The following is a 25,540-nucleotide window of genomic DNA, read 5'->3' as shown; positions in this document are numbered from 1 at the left end:
TTTTAGAAAAGAGGGAAGCCTGCTAGTTTGAATTTAATGGTGTGAAAGATTCTTTGTGTTCTAATGCATAAGTTGCAATGACAAGTGGCATCTTCCACTTAAGACCAGGTGTTAGACTGCTGTGTGAGATGTTCCTAAATATTACCAGGGCTGCAGTAACATCTCTGTCTGCAAAATGCATGCCCAGACCAGCCTGGAATGCAGAGTACATACTAAGTAGGAAACATAAATGTGCAGAACGGCTGTATAATTGTTGAACTCGTGCCTCATATATTCACAGTTAATTTTGGCAACCGATTTCAGTTACGGGAAGGGGGAATATGAGGAGGGGGTGACTTCTCCTGTCCTTCAACTTCCCAGAAATGTATTAGAAATGACAGCCTATGATTGCTGCAGACAGTATCTAATTAACTGTCATTATAAAACACATGTCAGAGCCTGGGGCCTATGAGGGATCTGATGTCTAATTTCTTTCCAGAATAATAAGAGTCTCCTTTGAAACAAGCTGGTGAATGAATTTTGTTGTCTTATTAATCAACTGATTTCAATCTGACCCCCTGTTTCCCTCCCATACCTCATTCTTTCCTGCTGCATACCCTCCCCTAACTACTTTGGAACTCATATTTTAGACAAGTGATGGATTTAAAACAACTTCTTGTCATCTTCTGCCGAGGCAATCTCAATAAAGAGCGACTGTAGCAATATGATATGGAAATGGAAGCTGTTTGTAAAAACTATTAACTCAATAATGAAACAATTATTCCTAAACAACCATGAAAATTACTTACAAGCCTTATTTTCTCTCATTTTGCCATACCACGGATTGCAATTCTATTTTCATTCCTATTAATTAGAACAAAGAATTTAATCCTTTTCTCCTTCTATTATGCAAAAACAAGCATGGTTATTAGAGAGCTATCTACTTTCCAATTAATTTTATTTAGGAATGAGTTGCAGAGACTGAATCATTACTGATGTCCTCTAACTAGGGGGTTAAGATGAAATGAGGCCTGAATCAACACAGAAAGTAAGCAATGTCCTTCAATTCATTTTTTCTTTCACAAGATGACTCATCAGCTTCTCCAAATGGATCCATGACACACTGCAACAAAGCAAGGTACAACAGCAAATGAGGCTGAAGGAAATCAGAAAAGAGCCTGTCAGTTGATAGAAAAAGAATGCATTCTCCTGTGACATGGGAGGCCTTCCATAATCTGGTGCCAACTTGCCTTTCCAGTCCTGTCTTCCATGTATACCCTCCCCAGATTCTCTATAAGTCTATATCTTTGGCTGTAACTTCAGTTCTGCCTAGGCTGCCAAAACAACTTTGGTAAATTCCAGTTTCACTGCCTGCAGCCTCTTCTGTGAATCTTTAACTCAATCATGGGAAGTAAATCATTCCTTTTGCTGGGCTACAACATGTCCATTCATGTATGGCCACAATCCCTTCTGCTAAACTCTTAGGACCAGATATATTTCAGAATTCAAAAAGTTCAGATTTTAGAAAGGTTTTCAGGGCATTTACTATGTATTATGCAACAATGCCAGGAGAGCTTAGGGTAGCACCTCATAATCAAACACATGTATGAAAAATTATATTAAGAGGTACAAACAAAGGCTATATATAATGTGGCCTCATATGAATTCAGGAATTAGGCTAAATGAGTCTACATATTTTAAAAATTTCATTTCTCAGAGCATTTTGGAATTTGGAATTGTGGATAATGGATTATGTACAATTTGTAAGTTTCCCCAGCTAGATATGACCTCCTCAAGGTCGGGACATATACATATGTATATGTATGTTTACCCTGATGCCTGATACAATGTCTGGCTTACTATTAGCAAAAGCACACTTGCTGAATACAAATCTGATTAAGTGTGCATTGGCTAAAGCTTACTTTCAATGTTTACAAACAAAACCACCAATAAGCTAGTTAAGTGTTATCATAAGACATCAAATTATGGTTTACAGCAACAACTGTCATGTCTTTTTTAACGATCACAGAAGGATAAAAAGAAGGAGGTGTAGCCTAGCATTTAAGAGCATGGGCTCTGGAATCACACAGGCCTGGGTATGAATCCAGGACTGTTAGCTGTAGGCTAATGGGCAAGTTGCTTAATTTCTTGTGCCTTAGCTTCCTCACAATAACCTGGATAACACTCTAGCATCTACCTGAGAGAACTATTGTACAGGTAAAGTGGGTAATACAAGCTAAATGCTTAGCACGAGTTAAGTGATAAAATGTAATAGTTAACTAATATTATGATTATAAAATGATTATGAGAACATTTATGACATTACTGAAATAGCTATGGGGGATCAAAGTGACATTCCACATGTATAGATGGCTACACATGTTGATTTTGGCAAGTTTATTGAAGCAATGATCTACTCTTTCCTAATACATAATTTGATTACTTTCATGATGTTTCAGCTTGGCAGAGGCTGACATTTAAAAACAGCAGATGAGGCTAGCAAAACCGAGGCACTTGCTATAACTACACAGAAAATGATTCTGATTCAGGAAAAAGGATGGGAAATAGAACTGGAGTGTGAGGCTCCCTGTGGTGATTGCTAATAGCCTCCAAACCTGGAAGCTAATTCTCAACAAAAATTGGCTCCTTTGGATATTAAACATTCATGATAAAGGGAATAAGGAAAAAAGTTCAAAACTGTTTTAGATTTGCTTTGTTATCTAGGAAACAAGATTGACATACTGCATTTAGAGCTTTTTTTCCCTCACTAGAAAATAACCAAAAGTTTCTCTCAAGTCAGTCTTTTTTTTTCTTAAATGTTAACTATTCCCTTCAATTGTTAATAAAAAGAATAATAAGAAGAAATCATTTGTCCTTCTGTGTGCTACATGGCTCAAGGCACAGCGTGTTCAGACAGACCTTAGAATTGGAATAAAAACCAAACACAACCCCAGGACAGAAAGATTTGATGGATCAAAAACATGTCTGTTCAAAGTCTCTGAGAAAAATGGTGCATTAATTGGGAATGAAACTTTCCACTTTAGTAGCCTAACCACTGGGTAGGTGGTTGGCAAATTCAGCTGCTATGAAACACCAACATTTGCCTTCTTTGGCAATGAAAGCCCAGCTTTCAACACTTAAAAAAAAAACAATCTATGTATTTTTATTTTTTATTTTACTTTAAGTTCCGGATACAAGTACAGAATGTGTGGGTTTGTTACACAGGCATACGTGTGCCATGGTGGAAACCAACTTATTTGTAAATGACTATGCACCAGGATTGAGTAGCCTCTTTACCTGCATTTGCACGTGCAATTCTCACAATGTTTTGTGATAAACACTCAATGAAGATATGGAAAGTCATGTTCAGAGAAGTTAACCGGCCCAAGTATCAGACATCCAAGCGTATGTGATTTGCACGTTAACGGCACATAGGACATCCTTCCCTCTGTCTTCATCTGCCTAATTTCTCATTCATTCTGAAAGACTCAGTTTAAGTGTCGTGGCCTCTGATGTGACATCCTCTTTTCTATAACCTGTTCTTTAGATTTCTTCCATAGCACTTACCACAATATTTCATAATTATCTACTTACTCATCTGACTCCTTCACTAGACCATGGGCTCTCTGAGAAGAAGGGCCATGCCTTTTTACTCTTGCACTTAATACAGTGCCTGATACATGATAGTCAATCTCAAAGAGTGTTGAATTGAACTGAACATCTCTCCTAAATTCAGCAACAAATTTTAGGGAATTCATTAAAGTGTGGCTAATAAATAACACTTTACTATGAACCAGATACAAATTTCATATGATAACTAAGAATCCTTCTCAAAAAATAACGCAGCATTTTCATTTTGCCAATTAAGGTTCATTAACTAATCTTGGTGACAGTTTGAACTTGAAAAGAAGTTTTGACTATTTTTAGGTTCCTAGAGAACCAGTTGCTGTTGTAGACACAGTAGATTTCTCTGCAGTATTTTACATACCCTAGGGCCTCTCTCTCCTGGACAGCAGCCTGATTGCCCATTCGCAGTTGACACTGGGGAAGAGTTGTGGGGGAGACAATAAAGACTTCAAGATGGACAATAGCATTCTTTCTGAATTGCACTTTTTCTTAATTAAAAAAATCTATATTCCTCATAATAAAAAATGTTTATTTCAAATCATCAAACAACTGGTCCTTTCTCTTTCCTTCTACCTCATTTCCAGCTTCCTAGTTCCGTCTTTCCCATTTAAGAGGATAAATGTGATAAGCAATATGTTTGTTGTTTCCTACCAGGGTTTCTTAGTCTTCTGTCTTAGTCCTTGATAGTCTTGCAGAGGTTTTTGTTTACACGAGGATTCATTTCCGCTCCTGACAATCAAGGCTCAAACTGTTCAAATCATCACCAAAGAAAGCCTTCTCAGATGAGTTCATGGATAAGCACAACTTTCTATCCCCTAGGTACTTACACATTCCATTTATGCCATGCATATTGCCCTAAAACTACTTTAACCGAATCTAGAATTGCTGAATCTAAGAGTTCAAAGAGGTTGTCTACCAGACTATGAACTCCTTCACGGGAAGGACTATGCCTTGTCTTTGTGTCTAGTCCTAGCACAGTTCCTACCATGTAGTGGGCACTCATTAATGTGAGTGAATTCAAAATAATGGTTCAGTAGCTTTTAAATTATATACCTCAGAACTATCTGATTTTGCAGGGTCTGACTTAGAACACAAAAGGACCTTGTATTTCATGGACAGCAGTTACCCCTTTCTCTGTTTCACATAAGTTTCATATGTTTTCATGTAAGATTGCAGTTGAAAAGACTTTTCACTGCTAAGAAAGCTTGAAAAGCACTTTTAGTAGCTTCTGTCTCATTTGTTGGTATATTTTGTCTCTTGAAATAAGAGTGTGAGAATATGACAAAAGGAACTCAGTGGTGTGTACATGGTACATATAAAACATCACATATATAAGGGGTGTGTGTGTATGTGTGTGTGTGTATATAAAAGGCCACTGTTTAATTGGAGCCTACTATGAATTAGATGCTTTACATATGTTACGTCATTTCACCTTCTGTCTAGCCCTAGATGGCTGTCATCATTGAGCACCCCATTTTATAAATAAGGACTCTGAGGCTCAGAAAATTAGCAACTTACCTGAAGAGGCATGTTTTAAACTCGTTTCTGTCTGGAGCCAAAGATCCAGCTCTTGTGATAGAAAAGAAAGTTTTTGATGTAAATTAGGGAGAGTGACTAGGTAGAAGAAATTGCAAATTTTCTTAGATTGGCATTTCAGAGAGAGGAAGTAGTTTTAAATTGAAGGAAAAAAAAACCAGGTAAGAGTCAAACTCTCTGAAAAGATGCAAGTATGCATGCAAAAAGAAGGAGCAGCTATGGAAATCAGAGTTCCCCGCTTATCACTAGGATAAGTAAGGGAAATTTAAAAATATCTAGCGTCTGACAAAGGGTGAGAGGAAGAAGATATCTGTAGAGGTAGAAGAATTTTGAAACAGAGAGGATGAAGTGAATGAAATGGGAAAGACTCAACTCCACTGGGAGTTCAATTTTAACTCGAATAGGTTTGCAACCCTGAAAAAGCTTACACATATACTAAGTATCTGGGTGAGTGATCATAACCAAGTGACCTGGGCAATTTGACTTTTAAACAAATGCTTCAGAGAATATATTAGACCCACTTCTAATTAGGTCTTTGAGAATCATTGTCAAGTATAATTTCCTCCCTCTCTCTTCTATAGTAGGTGATCAGGAAGTTTGGAAGGGCAGGCAAGGTTTTCCTTAAAGGATGAAAATGTTTCCTTCAGCAGATGAACCATGTGCAGCATCAGCTGGTGGTTTGGCCATGTTAACCATTTTACTCTAACTTTAAGATCCCTAATTACAATCTGATATTAAAACAACTCTGTTAAATTTTAGCCAGTCCAAATTCCACTGAGGTAGATAAAGATTTTTCAACTACCATTCTAATGAAATGTCACTATTATTATTTTAGGAAGCATATTAAATTGAAGTTTAATTTAAATAGAAAGCGAGTTGCTTTCCTTTAAAGAATTACACTGTTACCAGTGTTAGGTAAATAATAATTAACACAAGCACATACAGTTATAATTAGCAGGGAATTTAATTAAACAAATATGCCAACATAACCAGATGCATGACAAAGTAATTGTAATATGTCTTGCCAATGTATTCTTTCCCACTTCATAGTTCTTACATAGTAATTATAAAGCTATCTCTTTTTTCATAAGCACAGAAACTCTAAATACAAGCCTCCTAAAAGCCATATTCAAGTAAAAGAAAACAAATAACAGAAATCTTATTGAAGGAGGGGCGTTGGAGAATGCAATCAATTACTTCACTAAGGACTCCTGGTAAAAGTTCAGTTGATTTTGATTCTTTAGCTCCATCTGAACTTTACCAGATATCATCCTCACTTTCGTTTTATGGAGCTCTATCTCTAAGCTAGGAGGGACAAAGTCATATTTTTAAAAGACTGATTTTACATGAGCTCCTAGTAGTAAGTAATCTGTCCTTCGAAAGGAAAGCAAGTCATCTAGAAGTCATATACTACTTTGAGTACAAAAAGAGAGAGTAGGGAAATAAATTACCAAAGAGACAGGAATATGATTCACAGGTAAAGTTTAAAATATGTATTCTTATTTAACACTGAGGAAAGAAAAATGATGGGTCAGTCTGCTAGCTTCCTTATAGGAAAGATCATAATACAAAGGAAGGCGATTAATGCAGAAAAAAGGAAGACTTAATTAGGTCATTTCTAAAATGAGCCCAAGTATAAACTTTAACATCACAATGCTATGCTACACAAAGATCTTAAAATACCACACTCCCTTTTTATTTTTATCCTAAACATACAAAAACTATGATGGTTTTAGTGATCAAGAAATAAACGATTTGTCCATGTTAACAGGGCACATCTGGAGACACACATAGAGCTTTCAATTCCCAAGCCTACCATCCTTATAGGTATTCTATTCGCCTTGGGTTTTTTAAATGAGAACAAGCCATTTGAAAATATGATCTACTCTGCATTCAAAAAGAATCAGCTATTCAGCTTTTTAAATTTTGTGTCATACATGTTATTCTAAACCAGTGATAAATTCAATCCAAAGGCAGGCAGGGATCACTTTCATTTAAATGTTAAATCCTGAAATCAAGGAGAAAAAAACAGCAATCCTCATTAGATGCAATATCCAGTTCAATGAAAGTGTAAACCCTCCCTAAGGAATAAAGGTATGCTTACTTTACAGAAAAGAAAACTTATTTTCATAAACAGTATAACATAAAGATAGCAGCAACAGCCTACCTCTATAGAGGACTAGAGGTCCTATCTACCTCTATGTAGGACTTCATTGGTTGTAGAAATTTTCTCACATTTTAACTTAGCTGATGGTCACAACTGTAGTTACCTAGCGATTCATATCTGTATTTAATGATGTGGTAATTGAGATTGCAGAGGTTAAGTAACTTGTTTGGGATCACCTAACTAATAAGTGGCACAACTGGGGCTTAAAACCAGTCTTTGTATTTTGAATTTGCTCCTTCCCACCACCTTCCAGATGTCAAAGAGAACAAAGATCTGTACATATGTATAACAGACATCATCATTCTCCAGATGAGCAAAAGCTTGATCAATCTTAAGCACCTCCCAGCTGGGTTAGCTGATGGCAAAACAACTTATCTAGAAATGTTACCCAATATACTTAAAACTACAAACTTTCTCAGTATTTCAAATATTACCTAAAAAGAAAATTAAATGGCAACTGTGCATATATGAGATATAAAGTTTGTTTCCTAATCCTCACAGGAAATTAATTCACTCTTCTGGGATTAGAAAGTTTTTGAACTGAACGCCTCAAACCAAACAATTTCCAGTGTCACCTTTGCCTCAGTAAAACACCACACTCCTGGGCTAAGTCCTGGCAGCCCACAGCATGCTGGAACTCTCCTAGGAGGGGAATGGATTCATCCCTCAACAGAGACGCCATCATAAAATATTCATGAAGCCTTCTCGTCCTGGAAGAGAAAGGAGGACTTCATATTTTGACGATTTGGATTAACTCTTAGAGCATAGGTTTTTTTAATGGTGGGAGTATCAGAAAAATTATTAGACTGTGAACTTTTACAGCACTTCTTGAAAAAGTTTGCCAATCCTAGTGACAACACAGTTTTCACTTCTGTACGTTTGAAAATGACGGGAATGTGGGCTGCAGGATGAGCAGAAGGCAAAGTGGGGAGGAAAAATAAAATGAATTAACATTGAAACTGAATCAGCTGTGTGCCTGGCACCTTGCTAATTCCTCACCTCATCTTCACAACTAACCTATAAGGGAGTGAGTATTGTCACCATTCACAAAGAGACAAGGACAAAGTCACAAGGTTAAAGAATTCTACTGAGGCCAAAGAGAAAACTTTCATGCTTCTTTGTGGTTTATTTTTTATGGCTACAAAAATCAAAACAAGACTAAGACACTTTCATATGCTTTTGAGAGGTCTCCTAGTTGGTAAATCCTGGGACTGTTAGAGCCACTAAAAGCAGAAATGTCCAGTAAAACCTGCCATATTACTTTCAGAGAATTCTATTTTCTTTGTAGTCCTTTCCGCAAGTTTCCCTAGTAAATTAAAAAAACAAAAACAAAACAAAACAAAAACTATAATTTCCCCCTCTTGAAAGTGTTTGCTGTTGCAATCTTTTTTTTTTTTCCTTTTTGGCTAGGTGTTCAAATAACTCTTCTTTTTTGAAAAAGATTAAAAATGCAAGCAATCCTATATGACAGTAACAACAGCTGCTAACATTTACTAAGTGCTATTCAAAAACTTGTGTATTAACTCATTTACTTCTTCCAACAACCTCATGAAGTTATTTTACAGATGAGCAAACTCGGGGAGCAAGAGGTTACATAATCTGGCCAACATCACATCAGGGTAAGTTTATGGAGCCAAGATTCCAATTCATTTTTTATGATTTCAAAACTGTACTCTTTACCACTTAATCCATTCCATAAACCAACCAACACAACTGAACATTTTTTTCCTAAGTCATGGACTGTGCTAGGTGAAAGGGATACAGACAGGAATTTTAATTTGTTACAGCCTGGTGACTTCGAGACAGCATTTATACTTGGTACTCAGCCCTGTTTTAAAGAAATCCAACGACCATTGGTAAGAGTTTCTGACCCTGGAAGCAGAGGCTGTGGCAGGGGGGAGTAGCAATGGATACATGTTGACACCAGGAACTTGTTTTACTCACTGGGATATATATCCCCATATGGTGATTCTCTACATTAGTAATTCTCAAAGTGTGGTCCCCAGACTTATAGCATCAACACTATTTGGGAACTTGTTAGAAACGCATTATGTGCATGTTTTCATGTGAACATGCTAACCTTTTGGCCAGGGAGCATATTGACTTTATAAATCGGTATACAACACTTGTAAATATGTAATTATTAATATATACATGATATAAAAATAGATGTTAATTGCATAACAAAATTAAAACAGCAAAGAAAAAATATTTCTTAAAAGTCAAAACATTATCAATGTCTTGGTGTATTTTCTTGTTCTTTTCTATGTTTACAGCTTTTTACACAATTATCATATTGTACATACTATTCGGAAATTATTCACTTCTTATATTCTACATGTTTTCCAGTGTCATTAAAAACACTTGGTAAATATCATTTTAATAAATTATGTAATTTTAATTATATAACACTACGTAATATGGATACAGCATGATTAACTTACGTTCCCTATTGCTATTTAGTTTGTTTTCCATTTTCTGCTGTTATAAACAAATTGTGAACATATTTGTGCAAAAATATTTATATGCATATCAATCTAGCACCTTGATATAAATATCTATCAGTGAAAAACACTGAGTTTAAATATTTGCATACTTACTGGTTGTATTAATCAATGCTCAAACCAGGAAAGTATAGGACTAATTGTTGGTTTACTATTTGATGAAGTAAAAAAAAGGTTTCTTATTTTAATTTTCAATTTTTGGCTCTTAGTAATGTTGAACTTCTTATATATTCACCAGCCATTTATGACATTTTTGCACATACCTGATGTCATTTGATTTTTACTTTTTAGGTTAAGCTATATGAACTTGCCCTTTTGTAGATATAATATAGTTGCAAACCAGCAATTTCATATTGTTCAAACCTAATAGCTTAGCCTTCAGGATTCTGAAGCTGTATCACTCACAGTGATAGAATTCTCAATTGGGGATATAAGACATACATACATGAAAAGAAAAAAATACATATCTCTGGTCTCAGGACCATCATGGATTCCACTCAGAGCTCTGCCTCCTCCTATAACCAAGTACCCAATGACATTTAAACATTTAAACATTTATATTAAAGGACACAGACAGAACAGATCAAGCACGTGAGAGCTGAGCTTGAGGCAGAGAAGAGCATCCACATGACTCTCCACGTGCCATCTTCTCATTTCTTCTTGGCAAGTCACTTCAGTGAAGTCTCATGTCAGGAGGGAGAAGCACCACTTCACTGGCATAAGCCAGCCTAAGTTGTTCACTTGGTCAGTACAGGTAAAAATCATTGGGCCCAGGTGAAAGTATTTGCTTATGATTAGTATTGTTCGTAAACTGCACAGGGACATGGTTAGAAATGAACACAATCATAAAGATAATTCACTTATAAGTTACTAGCTCAATCAACAACTTGACCGCACATTGAAAAGCTGATCAAACACTAGCCAGGCAATACAGTGGGATGGGAAGAGCAGTGAATGCTTCTTTATCTTCCAGGCAACATAGTCTAGCCCTAGGTCTGTTGCCAAAGCCAGCCGTGGGAACTTCACTGAGTCAACAGCCAACGCATCAGTTCACTGTTTTGTAAAGAGTCAGATATGAAGAGTTCTAAAGTCTCTTTCCAGTTCTAAATTCCATGATGACACTGACAATTGGAGAATACTATAGATTGACTCTTTTCCATATAATCCGGCAATAATTTTTACCGAGAGATTCAGCAAACCTTTCAAAGCAGGCTCTTAAGCACCCTTAAACTCTCACATATGGTAGAAAATACAAGGCTTTTTATGAGTTTCATGAGTCTGTTTCAGATACTTTAGAAGAAATAGTGTTATCCAAGCTAATTGAATCATCTCATCTGTGTCGCTCTATGCACTTGTTGGGATTTTTCCAAAAATGCTCCTTAGGGCATCTTCTGCTTACAATGCTTTGTTCAAAATTTCAAAGGTAAACATCAACAGAGAATGCTAATCTCCCTCTAAGACTTCTTAATTAGGGAAGGCTGAAGCCCCAGTAGATTTATTGTTAATACTAAATTCTTAATTTATCGGTTTGTTTGCCCTCTCACTTATCATCAATAGGCTGAACACATGATAATTTTGCTGCAGGGTTGTGAATTTGCCATCTTGTTTTTTTGCCATCAAGCTGTAAAACTGGGTGTTATGGGTCAAATAATGATAAACAGAAATACAAAAGGTGATATGTATCTGTTTATTTGCTTAGAATGTTGTTGTATCAAATATTGCTTGAAATAAGAGCATTTCCTAAGCCTTGGAAATACTTTTGTTACACAGAACTTTCTGTTGTCCAGATAAAAGGCCCCTTTTAAATCAACCTGATAGGACATTAAGCATGCTAGGCTACATTTAAACTTTTTTTTTTTTTTAAGTAAAGAAGGTTTTATAATATAGTGAAAACAATACGGAGATGAAAACCAGGAGACCTGGGTCCTGCCTTTGTTACAAATGCCTTTCCTAAAAGCTCCAGAATGGTGCGAGGTCAAAACAGATGGGCAGAAAGGAAGTGGTCATCAGAGCAAGAGAAAGAGCAGGTGCCAGGCACTCACGTGTGCGGTCATATCAGGTAGAGATGATGAGTAGAGATCTGCCCTAGAAGACACTGAATTCTGAGATTCAAAGGGGAAAAGTTGATTTTATAGCCAGTGATTTTATAGCCCACTTTCCTGCCCCACCCCTACTCTAAGAATTGACATTCTGTTGGGGGAAAATATTAAGACGGTGTCTATCCTTCCATATCACATCCTATGAACCAAGACAATATTTTGGAAAAGTTTCTGGGTTTATTGAAAGCATTACACATTATATTCCAATATAGTCACTATACATAAACACTACATTCAAAACGTTACTTTCTTCATTAAAAGAACAAAAAATGGACAGGGTCTTCTGAATGGCTCTGTTAAACAAATTGGCTTTGACTCTATACAACTTGCTATATCCTTATCAGGAAGGCAGTGTTTACAATGGCTGTCCCAAGAGAGTAGCCTGATTACACGGAACTAAGCAGCACAACAGCACCCCTAAAAACAGAATTTACTTTCTGGTGATTTTGCCAGTAAGGGATTTTCACTCATTACGCCATTTCATCATTGGCCAAACTCGTGCTGACGTGGAGAGTCAAAACTGAATTCTCACCTGCACACTGTTCCTTCTCAGTTCTTTTCTGTAGCCCTTTCATGTTCTTTTCTCATACCTGAGACTGCTTCTAGCCCAAACTGGAAAGCAGGTGAGTAGGCCAATGCCTTCCCATCTTACTTTTCTTCTACTGTACTCCTTCCTAAACTCTGACCACCCCCACGCCCCCAACATCCAAGGACTGATAACCTTTCTCCTTCTTCTTTTCCCTCAACCTCCATCAGAATTCCAACTAAGCAGGGACCTTCTCTCAGTTTGCTGTCATAGAGGATACAGGAAAGGAGTCAATTCATGATTCCAGGTGGCAAGTATCTAATGACAACTTTATATGCAGTGGGGGTAAGAGTCATACTATCAGGGTTTGAATCCTGGCTCTGCCATTTACTAGTCATGTAACCATGAAAAAGTTATGTAAATCTATTAAGCCAAAATCTCTTCATCTGCAAAATGAGGACACTCATAGGACAGCTGTTTTTAAGTGAGATAATACTTGTACTTGGAAAGCCACTGTAGATCTGTGCCTGAGACACAGTGCAGCTATGTACTATTTTAAAACATCATAATGTTACCATCATCATCTCATCATCATTTAGTAGCCTCTCCCAGATCCACTTGAGTTTTAAAAGATGACTGCTCAGAGAAATAATATCTTAGTTTAATATTCCATGAGAAAAAGGATTCTGGACAGGTGCAGTGGCTCATCCTTGTAATCCCAAAACTTCGGGAGATAAAAGCAGGAGGACTGCTTGAAGCCAGTAGTTCAAGACCAGTCTGGGCAACAAAGTGAGATACCATCTCTAACAAAAAAAAAAAAAAAAAATTCTTTTGTTGGTTTGTTTGTTTGTTTTAAATTAGCTGGGCTAGGAGGTGTGCCCGTAGGGGTTTTTTGGCATGGGGAGCAATCCCTAAATCCAAAAAAATTCATCACATTTAAAACTGTCTACTCTGTCCACATGATAGTGGTCCCTCTCCTTATTCCTCTTTACCCTCTAGAGACACCTCAAAATTTCAGCATTTTTTTCCTTAAGCACTTGAAACTGCCAAAGCACTTGAATTCTTGATTTCCCCTTATGAATAACATGATCTTTGTCCTCTGTAGTCTACAGACTAAAAAGGCATGCTGTATCTCTGGGGGGCAGGGGGAAGAGCTATATCTTAGTAAGGTTATTAAACTTCAAAGATTAATAAAGAATCATCTGGTTGTCTGGCAAGAAAAATTAATGAAACTATGATGTACACATACACACTTTCAGTGTATAACTATATAGCATGTGTCTATTTTACTTATCAAAAATATATATGCATTCTCGAAATATAAGTGAAACAAAGAACACGTGTTCATCCCCAGTGCCCTCATGGCATCTGTATATGTGACTCTGTGTACCTGTTGATTTGTATATCTGCTTCTCCCAGACAGAGAGCTCCTCAGGGATTGAGACCTAGCCTTTAATCATCTTTCTGTCCCTAGGGCCTGGGATATCATAAGCATTCAATAAGTAACCATTCAATTCAAGGAATAAACTATGGGCCGGGCACGGTGGCTCATGCCTGTAATCCCAGCACTTTGGGAAGCAGAGGTGGGAGAATCACTTGCGGTCTGGAATTCGACACCACTCTGGCCAACATGGTGAAACCCCATCTCTATTAAAAATACAAAAATTAGCCGGGCATGGTGGCACGTGCCTCTAACTACTCAGGAAGCTGAGGCAGGAGAATCGCTTGAACTCGGGAGGCAGATGTTGCAGTGAGCCGAGACACGCCACTGCACTCCAGCCTGGGCAACAGAGCGAGACTCCATCTCAAAAACAAAAATAAAATAAATAAACTATGCACTGATTTCATTATTTCATATTAGCTTCATGACTTTCTGCCTGGATCACACTTACTAATAATCCCAATAAAGATGTTTTCCTAAATAGTCTAGCAATTCAAAATTCCCCCAACTGAACAAAAAATAAAAGCAACCATTAATGTGATCCTTCTTCAACCCCTCTGGATAAGAAAGCAGGTTCTGCAGCTCGACATCCTGAGTTCAAAGCTCTGTTTTCCCATTTACTTGTGTCAACTTAAGCAAATTGTGTTAAAAATTTTAAGATAGTCTCCTTATCTGTTTAAAAATGAGGGATAATAATAGTAAGGTAACTATCTCATAGGCGTGTTAAGGGGATTAAATGAGTTTATAAACACAGAAGCACCCACACAGTATTTGTCATATGAATAGCACTCAGGGCTGACGAGGAGCCAATGGGGTCACTGAACAAACACATATTTAGGTGAATCCAGATATACGAATACCTTGTCTTTATCCAGTCCTGCAGTATTGCAAGAATGTTAATATAGAAGGGTTTTGCACGGACAATGGAAGATATCCCACTGTGGGATTATTGTCCTTTTTTCACCATAATTTAATCCAACTTGGGATTCCACGGCATAGGCCTCTCTCAGAAGAATCCACCAAGTAGTTTTGACTTCAGAATCCCTCAGGAAAAGGGCTGTCTAACATTCCTCTCTCTCATCTCAACCTGGACACTTCCAAAGCTGAAGCATACTCATGACACTCCTTTAAACATCAAAATCACAAAGCAAACACAATCTGCATTTTTTTAAAAGTAAGATGCTTCATATTTTTTTCCTAAAACTACTTCCTCCCACCTCCCTTAACTCAGCAGAACAATCCTGAGCCATTTAACTATAGCCATAAAATGCAATTTGTGTTCAATGGCTCACATTCAACATTATATTATTTCCCCACTATAATCGCATTTTAAAGTAGGATCCACTATCTTCCCATGTAAGAAGAGGGCCCTGGAAAAAAGGATGGCATCTTCGGTATTAAGACAGCATGTAAGCATCTGAACAGCCACTTACGCACAGAAAACGAAATCTCGAACAACCAATTTCACAGATAGATTTTCTAATAATATACAGTGAAGCTAGGAAACATATTCAATCCCTTAATACATATTTTTAAAAAGCAGCTAGACCATCGTGACCTTGCCCATTTTCCCCTTCTCATTCTAGAAGCCTGAGTTTAGCATTTCCAGAGTCACCATCTTTGACAACAGCGATTCTCCTAAACTAAATAATCAGATCAGATCCAGATATATTGAACTCATTTTTGTCACTATTTTATGTAACCTTGCAATGTGTTTTATACATGCTTTTCAGAATATCTTCCAATTTTCTACTTTCTTGGTTGCATAATATTAGAGTAAAATAAGCCACATAAAGTCTCCCACCTGTTAGGTGGGGAATACTTTCTGAATTCTATGTCATTTCCATAAATTTTTCTTTCCTGTGCTTAGGGCAAAAGATTCTTGATCCCCAGATGGTATTGCATGAAACATTATATGTGTTTGTGCAGAGTGGCAATTTTAAATGGAGGAGGATTCAAAACTTTCACCGCATTCTCAGTGGGGTATATGACACAAAAAGGTGAAGAATTACCAACATTAGAGAGGATTATAACATTCAGAGTATCATAGAGTCACAGACTAGTTACAGCTTAACAGGACTTTTGAGATAATCTTACAGATGATCAAGCTCAACACTTTTCTACAGGTGAGATAATGAAAGATCAGAGAGGGTAAGTGAATCTGAAGGAACTCTTGTGAAAAAGTAACATTATCAAAATTAAAAGTGACAGTCTAGGCTTCCTCAGCTAAATACCCCCACCCTTTACCTTAAATTGTAACATGAGTACTTAGGGGAAAAAAAGCAGTTAAGTGTCATCAAGATAGTAATTATGGTTGATTTATTTTCTGTAATGGGTTAACATTGCTTTTATGATGAAAATGATAATTATGAAAATTATATGGAAATATGAAAAAATATGCTGTGTAAGAGAAAAGCAGAATACAAAATAGTACAAGTGGTTTTATAAGAATACACATGCATGAGGAAAAGAGCTGGAGGGTATGGAACTAAAAGAAGTTATGTTGGGATAGAACATGATGTTTTTTCTTCATTCAAATATTTCATTAGTATCAGACTATTTTCCCAATGATCTTACTGAGAATACAGCCACCATGCAGACTCTGGTAATATAAGCTAAGTCATGGAGGATGAAGAGGTTAACAGAGAGAAGGAAAAGCAAGCTATTTAGATCAAAGATTACACCTTGACACTAGACACGAAGAAATTAAAAACAGGAATATCTTGGAAATGGTTTAAGAGGCTCAGGGTGGTTGAGCACATAGTTCTGTGGATGAGAGGAGACATGTACTATACCTATGCGCACAGAACCTAGTGTGCTAGGCATTCAGCAGATGGAATTAGGTGTTACTGTTATTATTCTACAGACCTTTTAAAAATTATAAACGATGCCAGGCGAAGTGGCTCATGCCTGTAATCCCAGCACTTTGGGATGCTGAGGCGGGTGGATCACGAGGTCAGGATATCGAGAACATCCTGGCCAACATGGTGAAACCCCATCTGTACTAAAAATACAAAAATTAACTGAGCGTGCTGGCGTGCACCTGTAGTCCCAACTACTTGGGAGGCTGAGGCAGGAGAATCGCTTGAACCCAGGAGGCGGAGGTTGCAGTGGGCTGAGATGGCGCCACTGCACTCCAGCCTGGTGACAGGGTGAGACTCTGTCCCCCCGCCAAAAAAAAAAAAGAGATGTGTATATATATATTATATATATATAATATATATATAATATATATAATATGTATATAATATATATAATATATATAATATATATATAATATATATATTATATATATTATATATATATACACACACACACATATATAAACAAATGGTTTACTAACTGTTTCATAGTGTGAAGAATTTATATAACTTCAAGTAAGTCTTGCAGAAATAAAACTGGTAAATGAAGGATTTGTTAGCACTTATTTTCTGTTGGTCTTTAGCCTGTTTCTCAGCTTTTCATTATATTTTAAATAGACTAAGTTGATAGAGAAAGGTATGTTGGAAAAAATGTAGGGTCAACATTTCTGGCAAGATTTTTGTTTTAAGTAGGGAAAAGAACATCATCAATACGCATTCACTGACCAGCAACTATAAAACTATGTTTACAGATCTGTGGGAAAATGCAAACAATCCCTCCTCATAAAGAGCAAGGGCAAATATGTAGAGAAAAAGAAAGCATCAATTTAGTCCCTTTGAAGAGCTTTAGACCACATCTTAGAAGTAATACTTCTTAGCCCTTCTAAATTCTAAGACAGAAAGAAAATTATTATTAACTAAATATGTGATGTTTGTCTTATTTGTTAGCATTAAAGTAAAATCAAGTTGGACTTTAAAACAGTACATATGCATAGCTCATAGTACATCAGAGCATCTCATATAATCAATCAATACTGTACATTTATGATGGCTAATGATTTTATCACAGTAAAAATGTTAACAGTATATAGTAGTAGAATCTTCCCTTTAGTCCCCATCCTCTGACCATTCCTTAAATGGTTATGTTCCCTAAAGTGTCACCCAGTTCTCTTCTTATTTAACAACCTCCATAGTTCCACTACTGACATGGTTCCAGCTAGCACCCAAGTACCAACAACTCCCTTCCATAAACCTTTTACTGATAGCCCTTTGAGCTCTTGAGAGGCATTCCTAACTAACAAGCGTATTCCTTCTCAGTTTTTGTTTGGGACCTCAAATGCCACAAATTCGAACCTAAACTTAACATCTTTCTCCAGAAAGCTGCTTCTGCTCTCAGTCTCTAGCTCAGAGAAAGGCACTGCCATCGCCAGCTGCCCAGGGCAGAATTGGGGGATCACCGTGGCCTTCTCCCTCCCCTTTACCTCCAACAGGCTAAGACCTGTCAATTCTTGTGACAAAACCCCTCATCTCAGCCTTACTGAAACAATCTGATTTCAAGGACCCATCATTTCTCAACCAGGGTATTATAATAAACTACTTTCGTTGCCTTTGGTTTTGCCCCCATTCAAAACATCCTCTACGTGACTGACACATTATTGTGGGCATCAAAGATGTGAAGATTAAATGAGTTAGTATATATAAAGAATGTGAATTTTTGGCACATTAGAAGAATTATAATCACCTTCTCTTCCCTTTTTTCCACCTGCTAAAAGTTCAAATCTGATCAAATCATTTTGACTTACACTCCTTCAACATTCCACAACCCATAAAGTCTAAAGTTCTGAGTCCTCTGTAAAACAGGCCGTTAGGCTCCAGCCTCGCCCCACCCTTCCAGCCTCAAGTTCACGCCACTAAATACACTCAGCATGCTAGGTACAGTGAGAAACTTGTAGCTGTGCAAAAATGTGAGATTCTTTCCAATTCTATGCTTTCTGCAGGTTGACTCCTCAGGCAGGAATGTGCTTCCTTCCTTGTTCACCTGGAGAAATTCTTGTCAGCCTTTAACATAAATAGTATAACATTCATCGAGCTCTTCTGCACCTCCCCTGGTAGGGCGATTTAATGTCTTCAGTATATCTCTGTAGTAGTAATTATATCTTGCAGTGCCTATTAGATATTTACATAGCTGATTTCTAGAGTTTTGGGTTGTTGTTTAGATATCATCTAAGCTCAGCCCTAAATGTTTGTTAATATAGTCCCTTACTTAGACAACATTTTATCAAGTGTCTGTCATCCTTGGATGTCAATGCTAGTAACACAAAGGTGAATAAATTCTCATCCTGCCTCACTGAGACCACAGTAAGGTAGCAGATTCAGAAAATAAACAGTTACAATGAGGACTACAAAGTTGGTCTTTGGAAAGAACAGTTACCTCAGCTTCTTCCCATTCCTATTCCTAATGGATCAAGTTTTCTATATTTATACATTTAAGCTGAAAAGGCACAGAACATAATTTACACATAAAGCACATTTTTAAAAGATTGAGTTCTTTGATCTTTAAAAGAGTTGGTCAATATGACGAAGAAAAATATCAAGAATATTCCTCAGGATAAGGATAAAAAGAATGGTGTTGCAGAAGTGGAAGTGATCAAATAACAGAGAAAGGAAGACAAATGAACCAGCTTTGCCTAAGCAGGATGGCATTAGCAAAACATGGCATCAGAGGTGGGCATCTGTGTGGGATGATGTCTGACAGAGCCAGTGGAGCGGTCAAAGGTTGAGAAGAACTGGGAAACTGAGACTGGTGAAACACCTGCAAGCTTTGCTAAGGGCAGCAAAACAAGGCCTATTTTTCCTCATCCTTCGTGAAGACATTCATTAAGTTAACATTTACACGTTGAGTCAAGTTACTTGTGCCTTCTCTCCATACCCCATCAAAAAAGAAAGACTGATGGTTTCTACTTGCTGCTTCTGTTTAATGCTCCCATGGCATCCTGTACTCACTCTTTTTTGTTTTTTGTTTTTAAACAGTGATCACACTTATAACCACTTTTTTAATGTTCATTTTCCCTAATAGATGGTGGGTTTTATGAGAGCATAGACTATGTCCTTCCTGACATTCTGGTGTTGGCACAGGGCTTCACACAGGGTAAATGCTCAATGCATATCCTGAATCAATGAAAGAACAAATAAGCAAACGAGAAAACATCATCCCAGAAAGGTGGGTACCATTAGTCCCATTTTATGATGAGAATATTGTGGACTGGGAAATTAACTGATCTGACCAAATTCACAGAGACAGAAAGCAGCAAAGGCAGTTGCAAGTCCAAAAACTTAGGACTCTGCACCCATGCTTTTTTCGCTTTTTCCTCTTCATCACAGAGTCCGCCTTTTAAAACAAGTAAAATTAAATTCTTAAGTGCTGAGAAACATAAATGAGTCCTCCAGAAAAGGAATACTTACTAGAGGAAGAAATTTTAGATAATGGTCTTTTTGTTTGTTTGTTTAAGAGAAAGGGTCTCACTCTGTTGTCCAGGCTGGAGTGCAGTGGCACGATCATAGCTCACTGTACCTGCAAACTCCTGGGCTCCTGAGATCCTCCTGCCTTTTTCTCCCAAGTAGCTAGGACTATAGGCATACCACAGTGCCCAGATAATTTATTTATTTATTTATTTATTTATTTATTTGGTAGAGAGATAGTCTCACTATGTTGTGCAGGCTGGTCTCAAACTCCTGGCCTCTAGCGATTCTCCCACCTTGGCCTCCCAAAGTTCTGAAATTATAAGTATGGGTCACAACACCTGGCTAATGCTGGTCTTGAAGAAAATAAATTAGAAAATTCAGAGAATATAATAGAGTAGCCGTTCCAAGTGAAAAAAAATAGTATGTAAAAGGATAGTTTCAAGGGCTCTTGAATCAAGATAAAAAGGAAAACTAGATGTAACTGTTTCACAGTTTTAAGACAACGTAAAAACTCATGTGACAAAAAGAGCTATATATGAAGCTGTGGTTTTGACAGAAATAAAAGAACAACAAAGAACAAACACCCAAATCAAGATGCTGCTATACATGGAGATTTGCTCACTTACATCATCTACCTAACTTATGCCTTCCTGCTTCAATTCAGTCCATGAAAACCAATTAAACTTGAATGAAAAGAAAACCAAGCAGTTTCTGAAAAGATGTAACACCCCCTTACATGCTGACAAATCAACTTTGGGTGGAGGCAAAGCAGCAAGGAAATTTCAAACTATTTTGGGCTATGTGTTTTCTCAGGTCTTTCCCTGGCTAACCCTTCCCAGCCCCAAAATTTTACTAATTGGATTTGTAGATTTCAAGCAGAAGTCTTGAGCTGTAATTTGGTACATCTGCTTAGAAATGTGACTAGACTCTCAAATGATTTAATTGTAACATTTGGGAATGGTGAATACTAGTGCAATTACAAATAACTACCAGAGAATTGCTAATAAATGTCACTTTGTTGGAAAAGGAGAAAGACAAGCTCCAACTTTATGCAAGCAATTAAAGCTGCCTTTGTGACCATGAAATAAGCTGGCCTTCCAAATATTTTGATGGTCTTCCATAAAACATGAAACTCAAAAGGATTCAGGAAACCAGTTCAGAGGAAAAAGTACTTTCTTCCAAAATGGTCCTTCTCCACACTAACACACTTGTGTGGGCGTGAAATACAAACAACGTCTGTCCAAGTGGTGTGATTCTTGTATTTCAGGAAACTTTATCTTCTCCAAAAATGGGTCTTTGTAAGTTTTCCCATCAAAAAAGTTCAAGGCTGGGCACAGTGGCTCATACCTGTAAGCCCCAACACTTTGGGAGGACAAGGTAAGAAGACAGCTTGAGCCCAAGAGTTTGAGACCAGCTTGGGCAACATAGGGAGATCCCCTATCTACAGAAAATAAACTGTATTATTTGGGCATGGTGGTGTGAGCCTATGGTCCCAGCTACTTGGGAGGCTGAGGTGGGAGGGTCACTTGAACCAGGAGATTTGGGTTGCAGTGAGCCATGACTGTGCCACTGTGCTCCAGCCTGGGAGACAGAATGAGGCCCTATTTCAAAAAAAAAAAAGGTTAAAAACAAGTCCATAATCCCCTCACACAACAGTTACTCACGTTCTCTAGCAGCACACTACCTACACCATAGTTTTAAAGCTGGATTCCTCACAGCATGAAGCACCACAGGCATTCTGCTTTACATATATATTCATTACAGAAGAAAGTGAGCTACCAATGGTGCTCTGAATCTCCGATTAGGGAACACCATATAAAACCAAAAGAGTGTAAGACCTATTAAGGAAATGGAGTTCAATGGATACCCTGAAAAGTGTTTCAGGTCAATGATCCTTAAACACATCGAGATCTAAATATGCTTGAAATATCAAGCACATTTCCATCCATGATCATGACAATGGCTCACTGTTAAGGACACACAGAATCCAGAGTCTTCAGGGAAAGGAGACAATGGGAAGTGGATGTAGTGGAGAAACAGAAGCCCATGTAATCTGAGTCCTCAGATAATTCTAATATACAACCTCCCTTCTCTGCTTATGACCCAAGAAAAACACATTAGGCCTTGTACCATTCCTTCACTTCTGCTAAATTTAAAGCAATCCCATTTTGGTCTCAGTGGCTTATCTGCTTAGAGTTCATGGCACCAAAATCCACTGGTTAAAAAAAAAAAAAAAAAAAAAAAAAAAAAACTGCCAACCACCTTTAGGAAGCCCAATAAGGGAGAGCAGAATATCTTAAACAAGTGTTAGGGTTCGTCTTCTACTGAACCTCAAGGTACTGTAAAAGGAGAAGCAATTTAGCTTAGAAAAATAATTGACCATTGGTTTGATGTTAAGATACTAGTTCATATCATGCTCAGTGCTTGAATTGAAATTTTAGACACAATATTATTCCTTTGAAGTTTAACAAGATTAGGTTTACTTATGACATAGATTGAACAAGCTCAAAACAGGCCAGGCCTGGTGGCTCATGCCTGTAATCCCAGCACTTTAGGAGGCCAAAGTGGGTGGATCACCTGAGGTCAGGAGTTGAAGACCAGCCTGGCCAACATGGCGAAACCCCATCTCTATTAAAAATACAAAAAATTATCTGAGTGTGGTGGTGCGCCCCTGTAGTCTCAGCTACTCCGGAGGCTGAGATATGAGAATCACTTGAACCTGGGAGGTAGAGGTTGCAATGAGCCGAGATCATGCTGCTGCACTCCACAATGAGAGACAGAGTGAGACTCTGGCTCAAAAAAAAAGACTCAAAACAATTAAGTCACATTTTTAGAGTTCTTCATTCTGATTATGCGGAAAGCTTTTAAATATGGGCCACCATCCATCAGGACCCAGAGATATGGATAAAATTGTAAAGTAGGCCATCTGGGGGAATATCTCTCCTTTCCATCATCCCTTCAGGCTCCAGTGAAAAGCCTATCACAGAGGGCAGTGATTCTCAAACAAAAGAGCAGGGCACCTAAATCTCCTGAATTTAATTTCCAAGTAATGAAGTTCCCTTAGATTACTAATAGTGAGTTATATGTACGAATGCAAGCACAAAAGTATTTATCTCTCATGTATGAAAACAGGCAGCAACTGTCCAGGCTCCTGAGCCTATTTTTACATGTTGCCTATCCACTGAAATCCTTGAAGCCAAGTACTTATCTTTGTGCAGTCTGAGGCTGCTATCTTAAGAAGGGCCTGTCTGCAAGGTTGGCCTTGGAGTAGCATTTGGGAACTAGGGTTTTGGAAGTGAGCTTACCTTTCCCTGACTGATAAGGGTAGTTTCCTATGCTAGACTGTGCAAATAACATGGTTTATGCCAAATACCTGATTTCCTTCTGGAAGTCTGAAATTTTGGTTTATGCTAGTGAGAGAGTTGCTGACGTGACCAGGTGACAAGTCCCTTATCTTAGGCACTGAATCTCTCGCAAATGCTGCATTTTTGTCTGTTGGGGAAGACTGTGCTCTATATGACCCTCTCAGGGAAGGGAGAGAGCACAGGAAGCCTGTACATGGATTTCTCTAGACCTCAACACCTGTGCTTTTTCCCCTTGTTATCCAGTTGAGTAACCTTACTACCTCACTGTAATAAATCATAGCCATAAATAAAATTACATGCTAAGGTTCCATAAGTCCTTCTAGTGAATCTCCAAACCTGGGAGTAATTTTGGGGACCCCAGTGCAACTCTGCAATGCCTAGGCAATCTGGGCCTTCATGTGGTTCCTCTCATCCCTGGGGCTCATTGATTGATAGGCTTCACTTTCCCCATGTTGAAACCTGCCTAGCTCATACTCTCCTAGATTACTGATACAGTGTGTTAGTGAAGAAGGGTCACTGTAGAGTTCTAAGATCTAAGGTCTTTCTTCAAAACTGTATCATTCTTGAAAAAAAATCCTCAGGTTCATTGTCTAAGCCAAAGTATTAACTATCATGGTAGAAATCTTAGGCCAGGTAGAAAGATGACAGGTCAATAATTGATCAGTGAAAACAAAAATCTGGGGGCAATACAGGCTTTGCAGTGTCTCTGGTCATAATACACCAGCAGCTCTTAGATCTGCAAATAGGGCTGGTCTAGCACAAAGATTTAGGTATATGCCCCCGGGAAGAGAAAATCTACTGGTCTGCTAGTCTTTGTGACTGTTTAGATTCTCCTTTTTCAGTATGAGACAGGGAGCAAAAAGCTAATGAGACATTCTGAATCTGAAAGACCAAATCTTCGATCAGGATGTAGATGTTGCAATTATGTGATGGTACGGATAGGCAAGAAAATAATTGATATTCTCCCTGACTGTTGTGTTTTTCTTGCTGAATAATACAGATTTAAAACACTGTCTCAGAATAGGAGCAGTTATGTTGGCGTGGGGATGAAGGAGCGGGGAGCAACAGAGTGGCTAGGAAGTCAGGTTATATGGTCAGTTGGATCCTCTGAGGAGCAAAACAGCTCAAATCACCTTTATTTTTTGACAAGGGTAAATGAATACACCAAGGTCAGAAAGGTACATCACCATCATCATTTTACCAACATACACTTCAATGTACACGCATTTCAAAATCAATTCACAAATTATTTCATTTGATACAGCATATCAATTTCTATGACTATTTCTAGTGTGATTTTAAATAAATGTTACTATATACTATAATATTAGTCTTCTTGGCGTTCTAACCACAAGTTAAACATGCCAAGTTTATTCCCTGTAAGAAAAATAAAATAACAGTGATAGTGACCACCATCCCCAACAGTACTACCACTGCCATAAGAAAAATTCAACCTGTACCATTTATTCCTTCTACTCAGCGTACAGTTGTCTTTATTCTGGACTACATTACTTTCAATAGTAATTACTTTTAGGTGTGTTCGCTGCAATACTTTCCAATATTATATTAAACAACAGATCTTAATATAGAGCAATAATAGCATGGTATTTCAGAAAACTGAAGATACTACCAACTTGGAGTTAAGGGCTCAGAAAAGTCTCAGACCTTCAGAGTAACAAAATGCTACTGGAAGATTCATTATGCACATCTAATTACGTCACTTCAACCAAAGATTCAGAGAAGTGGATGTTTTTCTAAGTGCTGCTTCAAACAACATACCTTTTGTCTGGACCTAATTCCTAACATTCCCCAGGTGTAGTTGTACTACTAGTATTACCCAGTCAATAAACACCAGTCTGAACCTCTGACTTTCCTCAAGTTATTTCCTTCTCTCTTTCTCTCATCTCCTGTTTTTGCTTTCTCTAAAGTCCTTCAGTGAGACCCTCTTTAGAAAAGAGAAAACGCTGCCCTGA

At 37.7% G+C, this 25,540-nt stretch overlaps 1 protein-coding gene and 1 long non-coding RNA gene across 11 annotated transcripts in view, besides 2 other annotated features; both read right to left on the bottom strand.

The window, feature by feature from the left end:
• EXOC4 (exocyst complex component 4) overlaps positions 1–25,540 on the bottom strand; it is an 847,874-nt gene that overhangs the window by 328,543 nt on the left and 493,791 nt on the right. The gene's annotated exons all lie outside the window — the stretch shown is intronic.
• Positions 919–1,213: an enhancer, noted in NCBI's record as "tiled region #7226; K562 Activating DNase unmatched - State 9:DNaseU". NCBI's record gives its function as "activates a minimal TATA promoter and a strong SV40 promoter by Sharpr-MPRA in K562 cells {active_cell/tissue: K562}" and the evidence as "EXISTENCE:reporter gene assay evidence [ECO:0000049][PMID:27701403]".
• On the bottom strand, positions 921–16,817 carry LOC124901749 (uncharacterized). Its single transcript, XR_007060533.1, has 2 exons — positions 7,885–16,817; positions 921–5,175 (listed from the first exon to the last, which is right to left on the bottom strand). It is a non-coding gene; the product is annotated as an uncharacterized LOC124901749 (long non-coding RNA).
• Positions 21,437–21,937: an enhancer, noted in NCBI's record as "OCT4-NANOG-H3K27ac-H3K4me1 hESC enhancer chr7:133435225-133435725 (GRCh37/hg19 assembly coordinates)". NCBI's record gives its function as "activates a minimal SCP1, AML or CMV promoter by ChIP-STARR-seq in naive H9 embryonic stem cells {active_cell/tissue: H9 hESC(naive)}" and the evidence as "EXISTENCE:reporter gene assay evidence [ECO:0000049][PMID:30033119]".

This window comes from Homo sapiens, chromosome 7 (assembly GCF_000001405.40).
Source record: "Homo sapiens chromosome 7, GRCh38.p14 Primary Assembly".
NCBI classification, from domain to species: Eukaryota; Metazoa; Chordata; class Mammalia; order Primates; family Hominidae; genus Homo; species Homo sapiens.
The sequence above is the reverse complement of the archived record's forward strand: the minus strand, read 5'-3'. Positions and strand labels throughout refer to the sequence as shown.